Source organism: Homo sapiens, chromosome 8, assembly GCF_000001405.40.
Source record: "Homo sapiens chromosome 8, GRCh38.p14 Primary Assembly".
NCBI lineage: Eukaryota > Metazoa > Chordata > Mammalia > Primates > Hominidae > Homo > Homo sapiens.
In genome coordinates, this window is record NC_000008.11 from 128,891,782 (window position 1) to 128,913,206 (window position 21,425).

At 37.0% G+C, this 21,425-nt stretch overlaps 5 annotated features.

Annotated features, from left to right (window-relative positions):
* Positions 4,713-5,912: an enhancer, noted in NCBI's record as "BRD4-independent group 4 enhancer chr8:129908740-129909939 (GRCh37/hg19 assembly coordinates)". NCBI's record gives its function as "activates an origin of replication core promoter dependent on BRD2, P300/CBP, MED14 and CDK7 cofactors, and independent of BRD4, by STARR-seq in HCT116 cells {active_cell/tissue: HCT116}" and the evidence as "EXISTENCE:reporter gene assay evidence [ECO:0000049][PMID:35650434]".
* Positions 4,713-6,066: a biological region, named in NCBI's record as "BRD4-independent group 4 enhancer GRCh37_chr8:129908740-129909939".
* Positions 4,847-5,457: an enhancer, noted in NCBI's record as "H3K27ac-H3K4me1 hESC enhancer chr8:129908874-129909484 (GRCh37/hg19 assembly coordinates)". NCBI's record gives its function as "activates a minimal SCP1, AML or CMV promoter by ChIP-STARR-seq in naive H9 embryonic stem cells {active_cell/tissue: H9 hESC(naive)}" and the evidence as "EXISTENCE:reporter gene assay evidence [ECO:0000049][PMID:30033119]".
* Positions 5,458-6,066: an enhancer, noted in NCBI's record as "H3K27ac-H3K4me1 hESC enhancer chr8:129909485-129910093 (GRCh37/hg19 assembly coordinates)". NCBI's record gives its function as "activates a minimal SCP1, AML or CMV promoter by ChIP-STARR-seq in naive H9 embryonic stem cells {active_cell/tissue: H9 hESC(naive)}" and the evidence as "EXISTENCE:reporter gene assay evidence [ECO:0000049][PMID:30033119]".
* Positions 7,569-7,769: a silencer, noted in NCBI's record as "peak7171 fragment used in MPRA reporter construct". NCBI's record gives its function as "represses an SCP1 promoter by STARR-seq MPRAs in K562 erythroleukemia cells {active_cell/tissue: K562}" and the evidence as "EXISTENCE:reporter gene assay evidence [ECO:0000049][PMID:32103011]".

The following is a 21,425-nucleotide window of genomic DNA, read 5'->3' on the forward strand; positions in this document are numbered from 1 at the left end:
TCCAATTTCATCCATGTCCCTACAAAGGACATGAACTCATCATTTTTTATGGCTGCATAGTATTCCATGGTGTATATGTGCCACATTTTCTTAATCCAGTCTATCATTGTTGGACACGTGGGTTGGTTCCAAGTCTTTGCTATTGTGAATAATGCCGCAATAAACATACATGTGCATGTGTCTTTATAGCAGCATGATTTATAATCCTTTGGGTATATACCCAGTAATGGGATGGCTGGGTCAAATGGTATTTCTAGTTCTAGATCCCTGAGGAATCGCCACACTGACTTCCACAATGGTTGAACTAGTTTACAGTCCCACCAACAGTGTAAAAGTGTTCCTATTTCTCCATATCCTCTCCAGCACCTGTTGTTTCCTGACTTTTTAATGATTGCCATTCTAACTGGTGTGAGATGATATCTCATAGTGGTTTTGATTTGCATTTCTCTGATGGCCAGTGATGATGAGCATTTTTTCATGTATTTTTTGGCTGCATAAATGTCTTCTTTTGAGAAGTGTCTGTTCATGTCCTTCGCCCACTTGTTGATGGGGTTGTTTGTTTTTTTCTTGTAAATTTGTTTGAGTTCATTGTAGATTCTGGATATTAGCCCTTTGTCAGATGAGTAGGTTGAGAAAATTTTCTCCCATGTTGTAGGTTGCCTGTTCACTCTGATGGTAGTTTCTTTTGCTGTGCAGAAGCTCTTTAGTTTAATTAGATCCCATTTGTCAATTTTGGCTTTTGTTGCCATTGCTTTTGGTGTTTTGGACATGAAGTCCTTGCCCACGCCTATGTCCTGAATGGTAATGCCTAGGTTTTCTTCTAGGGTTTTTATGGTTTTAGGTCTAATGTTTAAATCTTTAATCCATCTTGAATTGATTTTTGTACAAGGTGTAAGGAAGGGATCCAGTTTCAGCTTTCTACATATGGCTAGCCAGTTTTCCCAGCACCATTTATTAAATAGGGAATCCTTTCCCCATTGCTTGTTTTTCTCAGGTTTGTCAAAGATCAGATAGTTGTAGGTATGCGGCATTATTTCTGAGGTCTCTGTTCTGTTCCATTGATCTATATCTCTGTTTTGGTACCAGTACCATGCTGTTTTGGTTACTGTAGACTTGTAGTATAGTTTGAAGTCAGGTAGTGTGATGCCTCCAGCTTTGTTCTTTTGGCTTAGGATTGACTTGGCAATGCGGGCTCTTTTTTGGTTCCATATGAACTTTAAAGTAGTTTTTTCCAGTTCTGTGAAGAAAGTCATTGGTAGCTTGATGGGGATGGCATTGAATCTGTAAATTACCTTGGGCAGTATGGCCATTTTCACAATATTGATTCTTCCTACCCATGAGCATGGAATGTTCTTCCATTTGTTTGTATCCTCTTTTATTTCATTGAGCAGTGGTTTGTAGTTCTTCTTGAAGAGGTCCTTCACATACCTTGTAAGTTGGATTCCTAGGTATTTTATTCCCTTTGAAGCAATTGTGAATGGGAATTCACTCATGATTTGGCTCTCTGTTTGTCTGTTGTTGGTGTATAAGAATGCTTGTCATTTTTGTACATTGATTTTGTATCCTGAGACTTTGCTGAAGTTGCTTATCAGCTTAAGGAGATTTTGGGCTGAGACGATGGGGTTTTCTAGATAAACAATCATGTCGTCTGTAAACAGGGACAATTTGACTTCTTCTTTTCCTAATTGAATACCCTTTATTTTCTTCTCCTGCCTGATTGCCCTGGCCAGAACTTCCAACACTATGTTGAATAGGAGCGGTGAGAGAGGGCATCCCTGTCTTGTGCCAGTTTTCAAAGGGAATGCTTCCAGTTTTTGCCCATTCAGTATGATATTGGCTGTGGGTTTGTCATAGATAGCTCTTATTATTTTGAAATACGTCCCATCAATACCTAATTTATTGAGAGTTTTTAGCATGAAGGGTTGTTGAATTTTGTCAAAGGCTTTTTCTGCATCTATTGAGATAATCATGTGGTTTTTGTCTTTGGCTCTGTTTATATGCTGGATTACATTTATTGATTTGCTTATATTGAACCAGCCTTGCATCCCAGGGATGAAGCCCACTTGATCATGGTGGATAAGCTTCTTGATGTGCTGCTGGATTCGGTTTGCCAGTATTTTATTGAGGATTTTTGCATCAATGTTCATCAAGGATATTGGTCTAAAATTCTCTTTTTTGGTTGTGTCTCTGCCTGGCTTTGGTATCAGAATGATGCTGGCCTCATAAAATGAGTTAGGGAGGATTCCCTCTTTTTCTATGGATTGGAGTAGTTTCAGAAGGAATGGTACCAGTTCCTCCTGGTACCTCTGGTAGAATTCGGCTGTGAATCCATCTGGTTCTGGACTCTTTTTGGTTGGTAAACTATTGATTATTGCCACAATTTCAGCTCCTGCTATTGGTCTATTCAGAGATTCAACTTCTTCCTGGTTTAGTCTTGGGAGAGTGTTTGTGTCCAGGAATTTATCCGTTTCTTCTAGATTTTCTAGTTTATTTGCATAGAGGTGTTTGTAGTATTCTCTAATGGTAGTTTGTATGTCTGAGGGATCGGTGGTGATATCCCCTTTATCATTTTTTATTGTGTCTATTTGATTCTTCTCTTTTTCTTTATTAGTCTTGCTAGCGATCTATCAATTTTGTTGATCCTTTCAAAAAACCAGCTCCTGGATTCATTGATTTTTTGAAGGGTTTTTTGTGTCTCTATTTCCTTCAGTTCTGCTCTGATTTTAGTTATTTCTTGCCTTCTGCTAGCTTTTGAATGTGTTTGTTCTTGCTTTTCTAGTTCTTTTAATTGTGATGTTAGGGTGTCAATTTTGGATCTTTCCTGCTTTCTCTTGTGGGCATTTAGGCTATAAATTTCCCTCTACACACTGCTTTGAATGCATCCCAGAGATTCTGGTATGTTGTGTCTTTGTTCTCGTTGGTTTCAAAGAACATCTTTATTTCTGCCTTCATTTCGTTATGTACCCAGTAGTCATTCAGGAGCAGGTTGTTCAGTTTCCATGTAGTTGAGTGGCATAAGTGAGATTCTTAATCCTGAGTTCTAGTTTGATTGCACTGTGGTCTGAGAGATAGTTTGTTATAATTTCTGTTCTTTTACATTTGCTGAGGAGAGCTTTACTTCCAAGTATGTGGTCAATTTTGGAATAGGTGTGGTGTGGTGCTGAAAAAAATGTATATTCTGTTGATTTGGGGTGGAGAGTTCTGTAGATGTCTATTAGGTCCGCTTGGTGCAGAGCTGAGTTCAATTCCTGGGTATCCTTGTTGACTTTCTGTCTCGTTGATCTGTCTAATGTTGACAGTGGGGTGTTAAAGTCTCCCATTATTAATGTGTGGGAGTCTAAGTCTCTTTGTAGGTCACTCAGGACTTGCTTTACGAATCTGGGTGCTCCTGTATTGGGTGCATATATATTTAGGATAGTTAGCTCCTCTTGTTGAATTGATCCCTTTACCATTATGTAAAGGCCTTCTTTGTCTCTTTTGATCTTTGTTGGTTTAAAGTCTGTTTTATCAGAGACTAGGATTGCAACCCCTGCCTTTCTTTGTTTTCCATTTGCTTGGTAGATCTTCCTCCATCCTTTTATTTTGAGCCTATGTGTGTCTCTGCACATGAGATGGGTTTCCTGAATACAGCACACTGATGGGTCTTGACTCTTTATCCAACTTGCCAGTCTGTGTCTTTTAATTGGAGAATTTAGTCCATTTACATTTAAAGTTAATATTGTTATGTGTGAATTTGATCCTGTCATTATGATGTTAGCTGGTGATTTTGCTCGTTAGTTGATGCAGTTTCTTCCTAGTCTTGATGGTCTTTACATTTTGGCATGATTTTGCAGCGGCTGGTACCGGTTTTTCCTTTCCATGTTTAGCGCTTCCTTCAGGAGCTATTTTAGGGCAGGCCTGGTGGTGACAAAATCTCTCAGCATTTGCTTGTCTGTAAAGGATTTTATTTCTCCTTCACTTATGAAGCTTAGTTAGGCTGGATATGAAGTTCTGGGTTGAAAATTCTTTTCTTTAAGAATGTTGAATATTGGCCCCCACTCTCTTCTGGCTTGTAGGGTTTCTGCCGAGAGATCTGCTGTTAGTCTGATGGGCTTCCCTTTGAGGGTAACCCGACCTTTCTCTCTGGCTGCCCTTAACATTTTTTCCTTCATTTCAACTTTGGTGAATCTGAGAATTATGTGTCTTGGAGTTGCTCTTCTCGAGGAGTATCTTTGTGGCGTTCTCTGTATTTCCTGAATCTGAATGTTGGCCTGCCTTGCTAGATTGGGGAAGTTCTCCTGGATAATATCCTGCAGAGTGTTTTCCAACTTGGTTCCATTCTCCCCATCACTTTCAGGTACACCAATCAGACGTAGATTTGGTCTTTTCACATAGTCCCATATTTCTTGATTTCTTGGAGGCTTTGCTCATTTCTTTTTATTCTTTTTTCTCTAAACTTCCCTTCTCACTTCATTTCATTCATTTCATCTTCCATCGCTGATACCCTTTCTTCCAGTTGATCGCATTGGCTCCTGAGTCTTCTGCATTCTTCACGTAGTTCTCGAGCCTTGGTTTTCAGCTCCATTAGCTCCTTTAAGCACTTCTCTGTATTGGTTGTTCTAGTTATACATTCTTCTAAATTTTTTTCAAAGTTGTCAACTTCTTTGCCTTTGGTTTGAATGTCCTCCCGTAGCTCAGAGTAATTTGATCGTCTGAAGCCTTCTTCTCTCAGCTCGTCAAAATCATTCTCCATCCAGCTTTGTTCCGTTGCTGGTGAGGAACTGTGTTCCTTTGGAGGAGGAGAGGCGCTCTGCGTTTTAGAGTTTCCAGTTTTTCTGTTCTGTTTTTTCCCCATCTTTGTGGTTTTATCTACTTTTGGTCTTTGATGATGGTGATGTACAGATGGGTTTTCAGTGTGGATGTCCTTTCTGTTTGTTAGTTTTCCTTCTAACAGACAGGACCCTCAGCTGCAGGTCTGTTGGAATACCCTGCAGTGTGAGGTGTCAGTGTGCCCCTGCTGGGGGGTGCCTCCCAGTTAGGCTGCTCGGGGGTCAGGGGTCAGGGACCCACTTGAGGAGGCAGTCTGCCCATTCTCAGATCTCCAGCTGCGTGCTGGGAGAACCACTGCTCTCTTCAAAGCTGTCAGACAGGGACATTTAAGTCTGCAGAGGTTACTGCTGTCTTTTTGTTTGTCTGTGCCCTGCCCCCCAGAGGTGGAGCCTACAGAGGCAGGCAGGCCTCCTTGAGCTGTGGTGGGCTCCACCCAGTTCGAGCTTCCTGGCTGCTTTGTTTACCTAAGCAAGCCTGGGCAATGGCGGGTGCCCCTCCCCCAGCCTCGCTGCCGCCTTGCAGTTTGATCTCAGACTGCTGTGGTAGCAATCAGCGAGATTCCGTGGGCGTAGGACCCTCCAAGCCAGGCGTGGGATATAGTCTCATGGTGCGCTGTTTTTTAAGCCGGTCTGAAAAGCGCAATATTCGGGTGGGAGTGACCCGATTTTCCAGGTGCCTCCGTCACCCCTTCCTTTGACTCGGAAAGGGAACTCCCTGACCCCTTGCGCTTCCCGAGTGAGGCAATGCCTCGCCCTGCTTCGGCTCGCGCACATTGCGCACACCCACTGACCTGCGCCCACTGTCTGGCACTCCCTAGTGAGATGAACCCGGTACCTCAGATGGAAATGCAGAAATCACCCGTCTTCTGCGTCGCTCACGCTGGGAGCTGTAGACCGGAGCTGTTCCTATTCGGCCATCTTGGCTCCTCCTCTCTACTTCTATTTTTTAAAAGCCTTTTATAGGACTTTAAACACACGTGGGAAAGTTATGAATTCTCCTGTTAATATACATGAGGTAGTACCTAATTCTGCTGGAGTCAAATTTCTCTTGAATAGAGAATAAAAATATAAGGCTTGTGCTGTTGAAAATAACACACCAAATGAGGAGAAAGTACCTTGAAAGAAACTAAGAAAACCTGTGATGCATCCAGTCTTCATTTATTTGAAGTATCTAACCAGTTGTTGGGGATATCTATTGATAGCAAACTTGTATAGTGCCCATGACCGAGCCAGGCAATACGCTAAACACATGTACTAACTTATTTAATTATTACAACAATGTTTTAAAGTGGATGCTCTTTTTATCCCCAGTTTTAGATAAATATGTTAAGGCTCAGAAAGGTTAATTATGTTGCCCAAGATCACACAGTTAGGAGGTAGTCATCAAGCCCATGTCCAGGTGATGCTAGAGCTCACGATTTAATCACCACACTTGATTATTACCACCTTTTGACACTACCTTTGTTCAGGGAGCTAAGTACTGGTGGCCCTTTAATTCCAAAACATGGGGTCGGGGATGTTTTTTTTTGACTCTTGAGAACATTCTGATTATGATGAAGCAGCTACTGACAATACATGCAGGGCAGTCAAGAGGCCTTTTAATTTGTATCTAAGTATTGGTGTTTCTTTAAACTTTGCTATAAGTACTTAGCAATTCTTGGCTAGTTAAATTAAATTGTTTCCTAAATTGGCAAAGCATTATCTTTAATAGAAAAGGCATAATTACCTAGAAGTCTTACTATATTGCTACTCATGCTGAAGAAAGCTTAGCCAGTTAGCTCTTGAAGCAATGGAGCAAGAAACTTGTGGATACTTCCCACAGTCTTGCAAACCTAAATCAATAATGTAGTCATACATGCCACAGAGAGTGCCAAGAACCTTGAATTTACAGGGCCTGCACATTTAGAGCAGCCATAGCAGAGGTCTTTTGCGATTAGTGCACCTTTTCCTTTCATCAGTAGGAGTGACCGCTGACATGTGTGTCCTTGTATTATCATATCATCCAAAGGTAAGAGTGAGTGATCTCCCTTGCCTTTGCTGACACTCTCGAATACCTTGGAAAATTTATGCTTCTTTAATGATGCCAGCCCTTGCATTCTTGTTGGGAAAATAATGTCCAGAAGAATGTGTCCAGAGGTGTTTTAATATAGATTTTATGAATATTTAGGAATGTCAAGGTCAACAGATCAGGAGAGGATTGCCATTGGGAAGACAGTTTGTTACAGATCCCAAGAGGAGCTGGCATGCTGTAGCAGGTGAAACCATACAGGGGAAATACTAGGGTCAGTCAAGAGGCAGAGGGAGAGGAGGAACTATGGACAAAAGCCTCTAGTAAGATTTCTGTAGGAAGAAACAGACAAGGCAGGGTAAGCAGGTGTAGGATTGGCTTGTTTGAATAATTTCAGTGGGCTCCGGGTTGTAGGCACTATCCCTAGTTCACAGGTACCTGGCCCTTAGGTAATCAAGGCAGGTGGATAATGGCAAGGAGTGTGATGGGGTGTGGGCTCTGAATTGGTTTGCTTGCCTTTGAAAGGCATGCTCCTGGGCTCTAGAAATTGGCTAGCTCTGGCAGGGGCAGGCCCTCTAGGGTTACCAAGGTAACCAAGGCCCCAGATGTTAAAGCATTAGCATACAGAAAACAAAAGACAAAGTTAATACAAAAACTTTGAAGAGTTCATTTTCCTAATGAGAAATATGGTGTGTGTGTGTGTGTTACACACATGTACACACTTGGGGGTGTCTGTATGCCTATGCTGTATTAATTTGTTTTACAGCATCACCTGAAGTCTTAGAATTGTTAATGATTTAATATGCATTTCCAGGAAATGAGGATTCCACATGCACTGTGTTATAAATAGCATATGTGTCCCTATCCATCCTTTATTGGCTTGGCCTGGGTCCAAGAAATCTAGTTAAGGAACACAAGAAGTTTTTTTTTTTTTATGAACTCTTCCTCCATTTCTAGGAAGTCATTGATTCTGGCTGGAGTTAGAGGTTCTATCATGGAGATAATGATTTTAACCTCTTATTCTGACTGGCTCAGCTAAACTGACAGCTGTGGTCATTATTGAAGGTGGGGAATAGGAACAGAGGGAGGGGCCATTCGTTAAATAACAGCAGGCATCCTCCTCTATAGTATGACTGAAAGTTGTTCTTAAGAGTTGAGATTTAAATTAACCAATTACTTCCATAAGAATATTTATTTATTAACTTGTACGTTCTAACATTAAACTAGGCACTTTGAGGTTATCCAAAGAGAAACTAAACAGAAAGCTTATAGCTCTAAAAATAAGTCTTAGTAACAGCTTCCTGAAGGCAAAAACCATTTATTCATTTGAAAATACATTTGATAATTCAATCCCTTATTAAATCTTAAATATTTCCTGAACTTTGAGAAAGATATTATTTTGAATTGCTGTTGGGAACTCCAGAAAACCACAGAGATGGTAGAGACTATATATGTATTTGGGAAACAAGAAAATCAAGATGTGGGGCTCCAGAGTCATATATACCTAATTTCAAATTTATCTATAGACCTCACTAGTCCTAGGACTTTGGGAAAATTGCTTAGATATCTAAGATTTGTTTCCTTCATCTATTCAAGAAAGTAGTATTTAAAACAAATCATAGTGGAGGAAAGAATTGATACAATTAGAATTATCAGAATAACTGAAAAAATTATGTGAATTACTCAACACTGTGCCCAACTCATATCAAATACTCACAAATTTCTTTTATCATTATTAACTTTGTGATGAATGCAATGCGTTACAGTAGAAACCTATTAAGAGTTGACACCAGGAAAGTAGGTCTGAGTCTCAATGCTGATTCTGCCCCTGCTAAGTGTGTAATCCTGAGTATGTTACTCAACATTTCTGAATCAGAAATAATCAAGCCTACATTTGAAAGGTTTCCTGAAGCTGGAAGATAATGAATGTGAGATGCCCATAACTTATTATTTGTTGATTTCCAAAATAAGCAATAGCTGTAACTATCAGTGTTATCTAGTGATTAACTAACAATCTTAGACTCAAGATTATCAGCAATGCATTTCTGAGGGAGAAGAACATAGGGCAGGGAGATGAGAGAATCCTTTTGCTTTTTACTATGTTCTGTTTTTCTTAGCATGCTGGAGCAGAGGTCACTGGTCGCCGTCTGTACAGAATGCCTGTGGTTCCACCCACCCAACCCAAAATGCTTTTCATCCAGTCTCCAGAACCTGCACTGATGTCTGTCTTTGTGGCTGTTTCTGACCACAATTGGAGAAAGTCCAGTCAGCTGGGGGAGGCTTGTGTGTAACTGTGTGTCCCTGGGTACCTGCCAGTGGACTGATTTTGCTGGAGGAATGTGTAATATGTGCTGAGATTCCTGGGGCCTCAGAGTGGGAAGACAGTCACTCAGGGCCAAGGGGACCTGGAGCCTGGGGAAGAAGGGCAGACAGCAGGCTGTGCAGCCAGGTCTTTACATGGAGGGTGTCACAGATATCAGCCCAACCTCAAAGGGTTTGCTCTATTCCCAGTGGGAGGGACTGAGAAGCGTCCATGAATAGAGCCAGTAACAAATAAGACAGTAGAAAATTAAAGGATGAGAAATGAATCTAAACTCAGATGACTTGGTTTTGAAGATAGTTCTACCACTCCTAGCTGTGTGCTTCTGTACAAGCATCTTTCTCTCTCTGGATCTGTAAACTGGGGATCATAGAATAATGAGCATCACACATTCATTTTGAAGATCAAATCAAGCACTTGCTGTAAGTTTACTTGATCATGATTGACACTTTTGCACCAAAGAGCACAATCCACGGATGTGTTTTTCTTGACAGTGAGTATTCCAGAGAAAGATATACATGAATATTTCTGGTGGAAATGTAACTTATATGTAAATTATGTTGTATATTTTATATATATATACATATACATATATATATCTCAATACATTGATACCTAAGAAATGTAAGATACTTATGCAATTCTATTCAGAAATCCAATACCTGCTGTTATTAGTCTGTTCTCATGCTGCTAATAAACATATACCTGAGATTGGGTAATTTATAAAGGAAAGGCGGTTTAATGGACTCACAGTTCCACATGGCTGGGGAGGCCTCACAATCATGGCAGAAGGCAAAGGAAGAGCAAAGGGATGACTTAAATGTCAGCAGGCAAGAAAGTGTGTGCAGGGGAACTCCGCTTTATAAAACCACCAGATCTTGTAAGATTTATTCACTATCACGAGAACGGCACTGGAAAGACCCGCCCCCATGATTCCATTACCTCCTACCGGGTTACTCCCATGACATATGGGAATTATAGGAGCTACAATTTTAAATGAGATTTGGGTGGGGACACAGCCAAACCATATCACCTGCAAATCTGGCCCATAGAAATAACAAAACACTGTCATCTATAAGTATATGTGGGTAAGTATTGAGATGACTGGCTGGTAGGAAAAACATGATTTATATTATATTATAAGTTTTTATGTATAAGTATCTTCATTATGACATTATTACCATCAACAAAATAGCCATCAACAGAGAATGGTTGAATAAATTGTGGTATAATTAGATAGATAGCAGTGAACTAGTTTCCTAACTGTTTTGATGCTACTTCCCTTTCCAGCTGCTACCCTCTTTCTTCATTCTCTTTTGAAGAAATCCTTTAAAAAAAAACCTGGTATGGGCTGGGCTCAATGGCTCACACCTGTAATCCCAGCATTTTGGGAGGCCGAGGCGGGTGGATCATGAGGTCAGGAGATAGAGACCATCCTGGCTAACACGGTGAAACCCCGTCTCTACTAAAAATACAAAAAAATTAGCAGGGAGTGGTGGCACACGCCTGTAGTCCCAGCTACTCGGCAGGCTGAGGCAGGAGAATCACTTGAAACCTGGAGGCGGAGGTTGCAGTGAGCCGAGATGGCGCCACTGCACTCCAGCCTGGGCGACAGAAGGAGACTCCGTCTCAAAAAACAAACAAACAACCCATGGTTTCTGCTCTATGATTTCAACTCTTCTTTTCCCCATTCTCTTAAGCTCCTATCATCCAGCAAGGCTGCTCTTGTACAGGTTATTAATGCTGCACCCAGCAGTTAGTTCTGAGAACTCACTTAGAATCCTCTGCAACATTTAACGCAGTTGATCACTCCTCCCTCTGGAAACATTTTCTTCACTGAGCTTCCAGGAAATTTAAGACTTTTGATTTTCTTGCTACATTATTGGTTGCTCCTTCTCAGCCTCCTCTTCCGGTATTTCCTTTTTGGCCCCACCTTAATGTTGAATATCCCAGGGCAGAGGCCTTGGTGTTCCCTGCCCTATCTAGTGTCACTCTCTCTTGGTGACCTCATCTAGGCTTATGGCTTAAATAACAACTATAACTACTAATTTATATTCAGCATACGGCAGGGGCTTATGTGGTAGTAGAAGGAAGGAAGGGAGGGAGGGAGGGATAAAGAAAGAAAAATTGAAGGAAGGAAAGAAAGAAGTTAATATTGTTAACTTGAAAAAGTGGACACTAGAGGTATTAAAAACCTAACTATAAGAGCATGAATTCTTGAGCCCAGGTAACCTGAGTTCAAACATAGATTCTTTCACATCCAAACTATGTAATTTTGGGCAAGTTATTTAATTTGTTGATGCTTCAGTTTTCTCATCTGTAAAATGGGGACAACAACAACAGCGATCTTATTTGCTTGGAGGTAGTTCCTAGACCTAAACATGCTAGGGCGTGTGAAATACTTCAAACGGTACCTGTATAATAGAATGCCTTGTACAAGAATATCCTAATGACTTAAAAGTGGTGAAAAGCTAGTTAAACAAGATTCCAATGCACAAAATCATCAAATGAAATAATTATATACATTTTTGGGTCTTTATTTGAGACAATACCTTAGGCAGTGTTAACAAATGAGTGATGTGTTGGGAAAATATATCTTTAATATTTAAAATTAAAGAGAAATTAATTTCTGAGATATGCCTCAATTCCAAATTAGCAAAATAAAGCAGAAAACTATAGTAGAAAAAATAGGCAGAGTGACCAGGCAATTTGCAGAAATGGCAGCACAGGTGTCTGAAGAGTATACAAAGATATGCTTGAGCTCATCGGAAATCACAGGAATAAACATTAAAACAACGAGATACTACTTTACACCGATTGGAATGGCAAAAAATAGAAATATTGAGACTATCATTTGTTGTCAGGACTTTAAGAGATAGGAAATTGTATGCACTGTTGATGGAAAGTAAAGTGTAACAACCATTCTGGGAGGCATGTAAGCAATTTTCCCATGTGTATAAACCAGAACAATTCTTGCAAATGTTTGTAAGGGATCATATACAAGCCTGTTTTTCAGTGTTATTTTTGGTGTCAAGGAACTGAAGTCAATCAAAGCTAATCTTTAAGGAAATAAGTAAGTGATGGTTGTTCACTAACACACTGTGGGCATCAGTAGGGAACACAAACTAGATGTTCATAGTTACATGGGTAGATCACAACAAAAGTATTGAGTTAGAAAAAAGATAGGTTACAACATAATATAATTTATGTGAATTAAAACACACATATAAAAACTAAGTTGTTATCTTATAAGAACATACTATTAATAATATTTAAGGGCATATATTGAGCGCTTTATATTGGTTATCTTTGAACTAGAGAATGGGACTGGACACCAAAGATTTGGGGGAAAAGGTGAATTAAACTCCACTGTTACCTGCAGGGATAGATTATGTCAGTGTTCTTAAGATGACTAGCTCAGCTCTTTACACTTAAAGTTTAACTTAAACAACAAAAAGGACATTTTTCTATGTAGACATTGACATGACATAAAACCCAAAAACATTTCCAAATACATTTAAAACTGAGTTTATTCTATACATTACAGTGTTCTAAGAACAATAAAAGGAATCATCTTTGACATGATTTTTAAAACTTATTTGTATTCATAGTCTTGCATCATCTTTCTTTGAAGTTTCTATCAATATCCAAAAGAAATTTTAACTTTTTATTGCCCCCAAACTGTACTTTTCTTTGTAGTTGCAAAGTTTACAAATGTTTCTGTCCATTTGCCAATGGGCCAAGGCTGAAAAATTATACAGTTGACCTTGAGCAAAACAGAGCTTAGGGGTGCCGAACCCCCAAGCGGGTGAAAATCCACATACAACTTTAACTAGAAAACTTAACTACAAATAGCCTACTATTGACCTGAAGCCTTGCCAATAACATAAACTGTTGATTAACACTGATTTTGCATGTTGTACGTACTGTATACTGTATTCCTATAATAAAGTAAGCTAGAAAAAAGAAAATGTTATATAGAAAATCATAAAAAGTCTTACATTAATAACATAGTTGGCTAACACATAGCTGATTAACACATATTTTGTATATTATATATATATAATATGTACTGCACTCTTACAATCAAGCATGCAAGAGAAAAGAAAATGTTTTTAAAAAATCATAAGGAAGAGAAAAAACATATTTCCTGTTCATGAAGTGGAAGTGGATCATCATGAAGGTTTTCACCCTCATTGTCTTCACAGTGAGTAGGCTGCAAAGGACGGAGAAGAGGAGGTGTTGGTCGTGCTGTTTCGGGGGTGGCAGAGACAGAAGAAAATCCACATCTAAATGTACCAGCACAGTTCAAATCCACATTGTTCAAGGGTCAACTGTATACATTATTGAACTAAGCAGACTAAATGCATACAAGAGTCCACTGATTGTTTCAATATGTACAACCAACCACTATATGAATGGTTTGTTACATTCTTGTACAATTGTCACATCATCTGTGACCCAATTTCTATTGGAACACCTCCTCTTGCCAGACCCTTTAGATTTATCTCCCTCAACCTCTGCAGCTTGCATTTGCCTTTCCCTTTGCTAACTGGCCAAGTTCTACCCATTTCTCTAAAAGTAAGCTGCAGTAACACTTCCCAAGGTGTTTCCCCCATTGAAAGTGGTGTGTACAATAATATCTTGTCTTTCTTCTCCAAGTAGAGTCATCTGGGTACTCAACCAATTAGCTGAAGGGATAGGAGTTAGTATATTCAACTGGAGGAAATTTCACCTGGATAGTGGAAGAGGTAATTCAAAACTGTTTTATGAGGCTTCTGGGGAAATAATCACACCAGAAGAGCTCAGGATCATATGTGTGTGAAACTTGGTGTTTAATCACCTGTGCATTCCTTTTGTGATATTCACTGAAAGACTGTTGGCCTGTGAAGGAGAACAATAGACTGGCTAGCGTTCACATTAATTGTTCCCTTGATTGACAGCTAAACAAAGGCTTGGTGTTATTCTTCCCAATAAAGGCCACAAACCTCCTACACAAATTGCTAAAGAGTATTTTTAAATTTATGAGTTTTGCAATACCAAGGTTAGATTTCATTGTTGTTGTGTGTGTGAGTGACAAAATATCCTATAAGTGATAACGAGATTGTTGAAATGAAGTGAAATTCTTTTATTGAGCAGTCCTCTATTGTTGGTGAATAACTTGTAAAGAAGAATCTTGATTTTCATATTAGTCAGGGCTCTCCAGAAAAAACACAATCAATAGGCTGTGTGTGTGTGTGAGTGTGTGTGTGTGTATCAGTGAATTTATTGTAGAAATTGGCATGCTCTGAAGGCCTGAGAACAAGGAGGTCCAATGTCTGAGGGCAGGAGAAGATAGATATTCCAGTTCAAGAAAAGAGAAAGAAAATTTACTCTTCCTTCACCTTTTTGTTCTGCTTAGCTCTTTAATGTATTGGTTGATGCCCTTCCACATTGGTGAGGGTGGATCTTCTCTCGCAGATACTCATTCAAATGCTAATTTCTTCTGGAAACACCCTCCCAGACACACCCAGAAATAATGTTTTACCAGCTATCTGAGCATCTTTTAGCATGGTCAAGATGGCACATAAAATTACCCACCACAATTATGTACTATTTGTGGTCAACCTGTAAAGAAGAATCTTACAGAATATACATTGGAAGTAATGCTTTAGAGACTAAAAAAGTAAATCTCAAAGCAGCCCTGAACTCATGAAATCTATGAAAAGAATGAGAGCATTTAAAAACTCCGATAAGACAAAGAAGAAGACTATTCTTCCCGTCCATTTTGACTACAGACAATATGAAGAATAAAGATATCATAATGAATAGATGAATACTAATTAAATAATTGAATGGAATGGTTTCAATTATCAAACTTGTTTTACTATTTCTTATAATAGGAACCTTTAATGTTCACAGCTCATGGAGGTAAGTGCAGCATTAGAAATAAAGAAGACATGATGTACTTTAACAAACCAAACCATAACTTATTCTTTCATAGCACACAGCTAAATAGCACAGTTTCTTTTGTATCACTGAGATGACCAGAGTAATAACATTTGTTACTGACTCTAATGATTATACCCATGCCCTTCTATTGAGACCCTTTAATAACTATTTTCTGAGGGAGAGCTTATTTTTAAAGGGGAATGATTTTATAATAAATATCTTATAAAGCTCTCTCTGAGCTCTTCTTAAAATTCGACTTATTAATGGTGGACTTTAATACAGGGACCTCTGTAACTCTAAAAGGAGGAGGAATTATATGGTCTAGAAAGATATAGTTAGCTACTCTATCAGTGCACAGTACTATCTCTTTGTGTTTAAATTTGTACATCTCTGTTTATGAACAATTTTGATCATCTTGTTATGCACGTATTTGCTTTAGTTTTCTGTAACTTGCCTGTTTGTATCTTGAGCCTGGTGTATTTGGGGGAGGAAATGTTCTTTTGAATCAGCAGAAGATTGATTTCTGTTCTAGATATTCTTTTTTTTTTTTTAATTTTAAACGCGGGGCAAAGCTCCCATTAAATTTATAGCTTTATGTTTTACACTTACGATGTTAATCCTTCCAGATTTCAATGTTTTATATGTGGTGTTAGATAAAGATCTGGATTCATTTCTCACATGAAAATGAACCAGTAGTGCTCTTGCTGTCTACTAAATAATTTGTCCTTTTCCCATTAATTTCGTGTGCCAAATTTATCATATATTTAGATGTCACATGCTAATGAGCCTGTTCCAGAGCTACTTATTATCAAATTAGTCAATTTGCCTGTTTTTACACCAATAAAACGCTATTTATATTACTACAGTCTTACTATATGTCTTGATATCTGGTAGAGGCAAGCTTCCCCTTTTTACTATTTTTATAGTTAATTTAGCTATTTTTAGTCAACTTAAAGTTTTGGAATAGGTTTACTAAGTACATTAAAACCATATAATTAGAATTTCTATTGAGCTTGAATCAAATTTGTATCTTAATCTGGAGAGAATTAATATCTTTAAAATGTTATCCAGTCTAAAAGCATGGAAGCTTTTCCATTTATTCAGATTACTCTTTATGTCCTGTTTGGAGTTTTAATGTTTTGCCCATAGGAATCTAGTGATTCTGGTTAGTTTAATTTCTAGGAACCTTAGTATTCTGCTATATTATGTAATATTTTATTTTCAAACATTTTTAGTTGCTCATTTCTTGTGTAAAGAAAGAACGTTGATTTCGCAAGAGTGACATTGTATCAGGAATCATCGTTGAACTCTTATAAATTCTAACAGTTTATTGATTTGATTACTTTTTAACAGGTAGAAAAAAATCATCTTTAAGGATTATATCTTTACTTACATATTAATACCTATTTTTTTCATTTCCTTGCTTCATATATTATTGCTGATGAGATAGGCATTCATGTCTTGCTAATGATACTAGAAGATGTGTGGCCAAAGTTTGCCAATCAATTGTTTTATTTGCTTATTAGTTTGTTTCATTATGTAATGTCCATCAAGTCGAGAACATTTCCATTTATTTCCTATTTGTTTTTGTTGTTATTGTTTATTTGTTTAACCATTAATGGTGCTAAAGCTTATTATGTTCTTTTTCTAAATTAAATGTATCCATTGATTTTTCTTCTTTCATCTTTATAAATTTAGTCAAGTTGTGGTGAATTTTACTGATGGAGTCTCTGATCATTGTACTTGATCAAGATGTGTTATTTTGAATGCATGATCAGCTTTATTTAGCAAATGATTCTTTCAATTTATACAATTGTGGTTATAAGTGAAAAGGGCAGAAATTAGAAAGATAGCTAACACCAGACATGGACAGATGTTCAGATAAAGGAGACTTAATACACTGCTGACTAATGGATTTATACATTCTAGTAACCCTAAAATTTCTCTCTGAGATATATATTCCACGCAGCTCTATAAGTAATTTTGCTTGAAGCTACTCACTGCAGTTTATTTGTGTTGACAGAGTTAGAAGCCTCCTGGGTATCCATCACTTGGAGAATGAATAGGTAATATATGTTGGACATACAATATGGAGAATTTTTCAGCAATAAAAATCAAACCATAAAGGAATGTTTTGGAAATGTAGCAGAGTAGGAAGCAGCAGGAATCTGTCTCCATACCTAGACAACAATTACAATGGCAGAATATATCCAAAGTAACTACTTTGGAACTTTGAAGTCTATTGAAGGCTTAAAACTTCCAGAGGAAGCCTTGCTTCATAAATTGCTGTTCATTTCAGCTGATTTCAGCTATTAGCACATTAGCAGCTACCCATTCCCCATCCCTCAACCCCATGGTGGGCAGATGTTAACTTGTTCCTGGAGCAGCTTGCTGATAGCTTAAAGGGGAAGGAGTGGGCCAAAAGAACCCTAGTCTTTAAGTACTAGGTAACTGTGATTTGATAATCGATTGCTGCTTCTGACCACAGAAGTCCAGACAATGAGGCTGTGACCATTGTTTTTACATCTCTTCCCATTGTTGCAAGCTTCTTCTGCTCTCGCTGAGGTGATTTCCAGAGAAGTTAAAGGACTGATGCTATCCCCCTCATTTCATTTTTTTCTTCATCTTTTTTTGAGAGTCAGACATTGAAGAGTAGAATATACAAAAGCAACTACATATGTAAGAAAATTTAGAAAGTCACCATGCATGCTCAGGGGTAGGGCCAAGCTCAGAAAAGACCTGAGAATACCTTAAGCTTACAACTTAGACTGATCTTTCACACAGAGACAGCCTATAACTATGAAGAAACAAAAACAAAACAAAACAAAAAACAGCACCAAAAAAATCTCAAGGTTAATAAAAAACTGAAACAGGAGAGTATGACCCACTCAAAAGAAAAAGTAAATCCATAAAAACTGTCTCCAAAAAAGACCTAATGACAGAACTACTAGAAAAAGACTTTAAGACAACAGCCTTAAAGATTCTCAAAGAACCAAAAGATGACACAGAGATAGTCAATAACAAAATGTATGAACAAATAAAAAATGTCTAAAGAGATATAAAACCTAACATAAACCACACAGAAAAAACATTCTGGAGCTGAAAAATGAAAATAAAAATGAAAATGAAAATCCACTGGAATATTTTAGAGATAGATTTGAGCAAGCGAAAAAACTATTTCAAAGATAGGACAAAAAAATTGTCAAATTTGAGAAACAGAAAGAAAAATGGATGAAGAAAACTGATCAGAGCATCAGAGCATACATGACCTGTAGGACACCTTCAAGGAGACCAAGATAGATGTTATGGAATTGCCAGAAGGGTAACAGAGGGTAAAAGGGGCAGAGATAATATTTAAAGAAATAATGTCTGAAAACTTTTCTAATTTAATGAAAGACATGATATAAGCATCTAAGAAGCTCAATAAACTCCCACTCCAAAAAGAATGAACTATAAGAGAATCACACTGAGAAACATTATAATCAAGCTGTCTAAAGTCAAAGAGAGAATTTTAAAAGCAGCAAGAGAGAGGTAACACATCACACACAAAGGATCTTCAATAAGATCATCAGTTGATTTTTTTGTAAGAAAGTAGAAGTCCAGCAAAAAACAAAAAAACGAACAAAAGAAACCCCTGTTATCCAAGAATCACATATCCAGCAAAACTATCCTTCAAAAGTGAGAGAGAAATAAGGACATTCCCAGATAAACAAAAGCTAAGGGAGTTTATCACTGCTAGACTTGCTGTTCAAGATGTGCTCAAGAGAGTCTTGCATTTTGAAATGAAAGAAAACTAGATAGTAACTCTAAGTCATATGAAGAAATAAAGATCTCAGTCAATGTAAATACATGGGCAATTATTAAAACTAGTATTATTATAATGATGATGTGTGGCACCATATTTTTGTTTGTTGTCTACATAATTAAAGAGACTAACACATTAAAAAACTAGTCTAAAAGGTAAGTATTGCATATTTCTCTTTCAATACTATTTACGATTCATTTACATTTAAAAATTAATAGTTTATGTTTTTGGACACACAATGTACAACAATGAAGTTTTGTGGCATTAATAACAGAAAGAAATGAGGACAGAACTGTTAGAAGAGCAGAGTTTTGTACTAAAAACTATAAAAAGGGCAGAGTTATATAAGTTAAGCTGGCATAAATTTAACTTAAGGGTATTACAACTTTAGGATTTTGAGTATAATCCTCATATTAACTACAAAGAAAATATGTAAAGAATTTACACATAAAGAAACAAGAAAGGAATTTAAAAGTTTAATTACAAAAAATTAACTAGGCACAAAAGAAGACAGTAATGTAAGAAGTGAGGGACAAAAAGCTATAAGGTATATAGAAAACAATTAGCAAAATAACAGAAGTAATTCCCTCCTTATCAGTAATTACTTTAATTGTAAATAGACTAAATTCTCCATTCAAAAGACAGAGATTGACAAAATAGATTTTAAAAATTATCCAATTATTTGCTGTCTACAAGAAATTCACATTAGACCCAAAGATACAAATAGGTTGAAAGTGAAAGGATGGAAAAGAATATGCCATGCAAATAGTAATCAAAAAGAGAGTAGGGTTGGCTAGGCTAACATCGAGCAAAATAGATCTTAAGTTTTTAAAAAGTTACAAGAGAGAAAAAGAACATTATATAAATAATAAAAGATGCAATACAGCAAGAAAATACAATTATATAAATTTACAAAGCTAATAGCAGACCATCAAAATATATGAAGTAAAAATTTACAGAATTGAAGGGAGAAATAAACAATACTACAGTAATAGCTACAGAGTTTAGTACCCTACACTCAATATTTGATAGAGCCACCAGACCAAAGATAAGTAAGGAAATAGAGAACTTGAACAATGCAATAAGGCAAACAGATCTAACTCATATACAGAACACATTTTCCAACAACAACAGAAAATACATTCTTCTCAAGTGTACCTGGGACATTTTCATGATAGACTACATGTTAGGCCACAAGTTAAACCTCCCCATGTCTAAAAAGGTGGATATCATACAAAGTATATTCTCTGACCACAACAGAATGAAGTGAGAAATCAGTAACTGGAGAGAAACTAAAAAAATTATATATTTGCAGAAATTAAACAAAAAAGTCTTACACAATCAATGGATCAAATGAGAAATCACAAGGGAAATTAGAAAATAGAGAAAAATGAAAATAAAACCACAATATGCCAAAACTTATGAGACACAGAGAAAGCTGTGCAAATGAAGAAATTTATAGCTATATATGCTTACATTATAAAATAAGAAACATTCAAAGCAAAAACAACTTTATAATTTAACGAACTAGAGAAAGGAAACAAACAAACCCAAAGGTAACAGAAGTCAGGAAATAAAGATTACAGCAGAAATAAAATAAAACTGGCAATAGAAAAATAGTAAAAAAAAATCAATAATACCAAAAGATTCTGCCTTGAAAAACTGAACCACATTAACATTTTTAATTGTATTAAGTTCGATGAACTAAAAATAAAAAGACTCAACCTACTAAAATAAGAAATGAAAGTGGGAACATGGTTGCCAATTGTACAGAAATAAAAAGGATTATAAGAGCGTACTATAAGTCTACACAAATTGAATAACTTAGATATAATAGGCAAATTCTTGGAAACACAAAACTAACCAAAAGGAAACCAGTTACTAACTTTCTATGAAGCAGCATTAACCTGATACCAAAGGTAGACAAAGATACTACAAGAAAAAAACCTTCGTCACCTTTTTAAACATTGATACAAAAAATCTCAACAAAGTTCTAGCAAGCCATATTAAAAAGATTCACACTATTACCAAATGGAATTTATTTCTGGAATGCAAAGATCATTCAACATATAAAAATGGATAAATGTAATATATCACATTAATATAATTAAAAAAACACATGTGACTATCTTCATTGATACAGAAAAAAGCATTTGACAAAATTCAATGCCATCTTATGAGAGAAACACTAAACAAACTGAGAAAAAAAGGAAATGACCTAAATATAACAAAACCTATATATGTAAAACCCACAGCAAGTATCGTACTCAATGCTGAAAACTGAAACCTTTCCCCTAAGATAAGGAACATGGCAAAAATGCTTGCTTTTACCATTTCTATTCAGCATAATAATAGAAGTTCTAGTCAGAGCAATTTGGCAAATAATAATAATAACAAAAGGCATTTAAATCAGAAAGGAAAAAATAAGATTATGTCTGTTAACAGATGATATGATCTTACATGTAGAAAATCTAAAGATTAAACAAACAAAAGCCCAGTTAGAATAAAAAAATTCAGCAAAGTAGTAAAATATAAAATCAACACGAAAAAAAT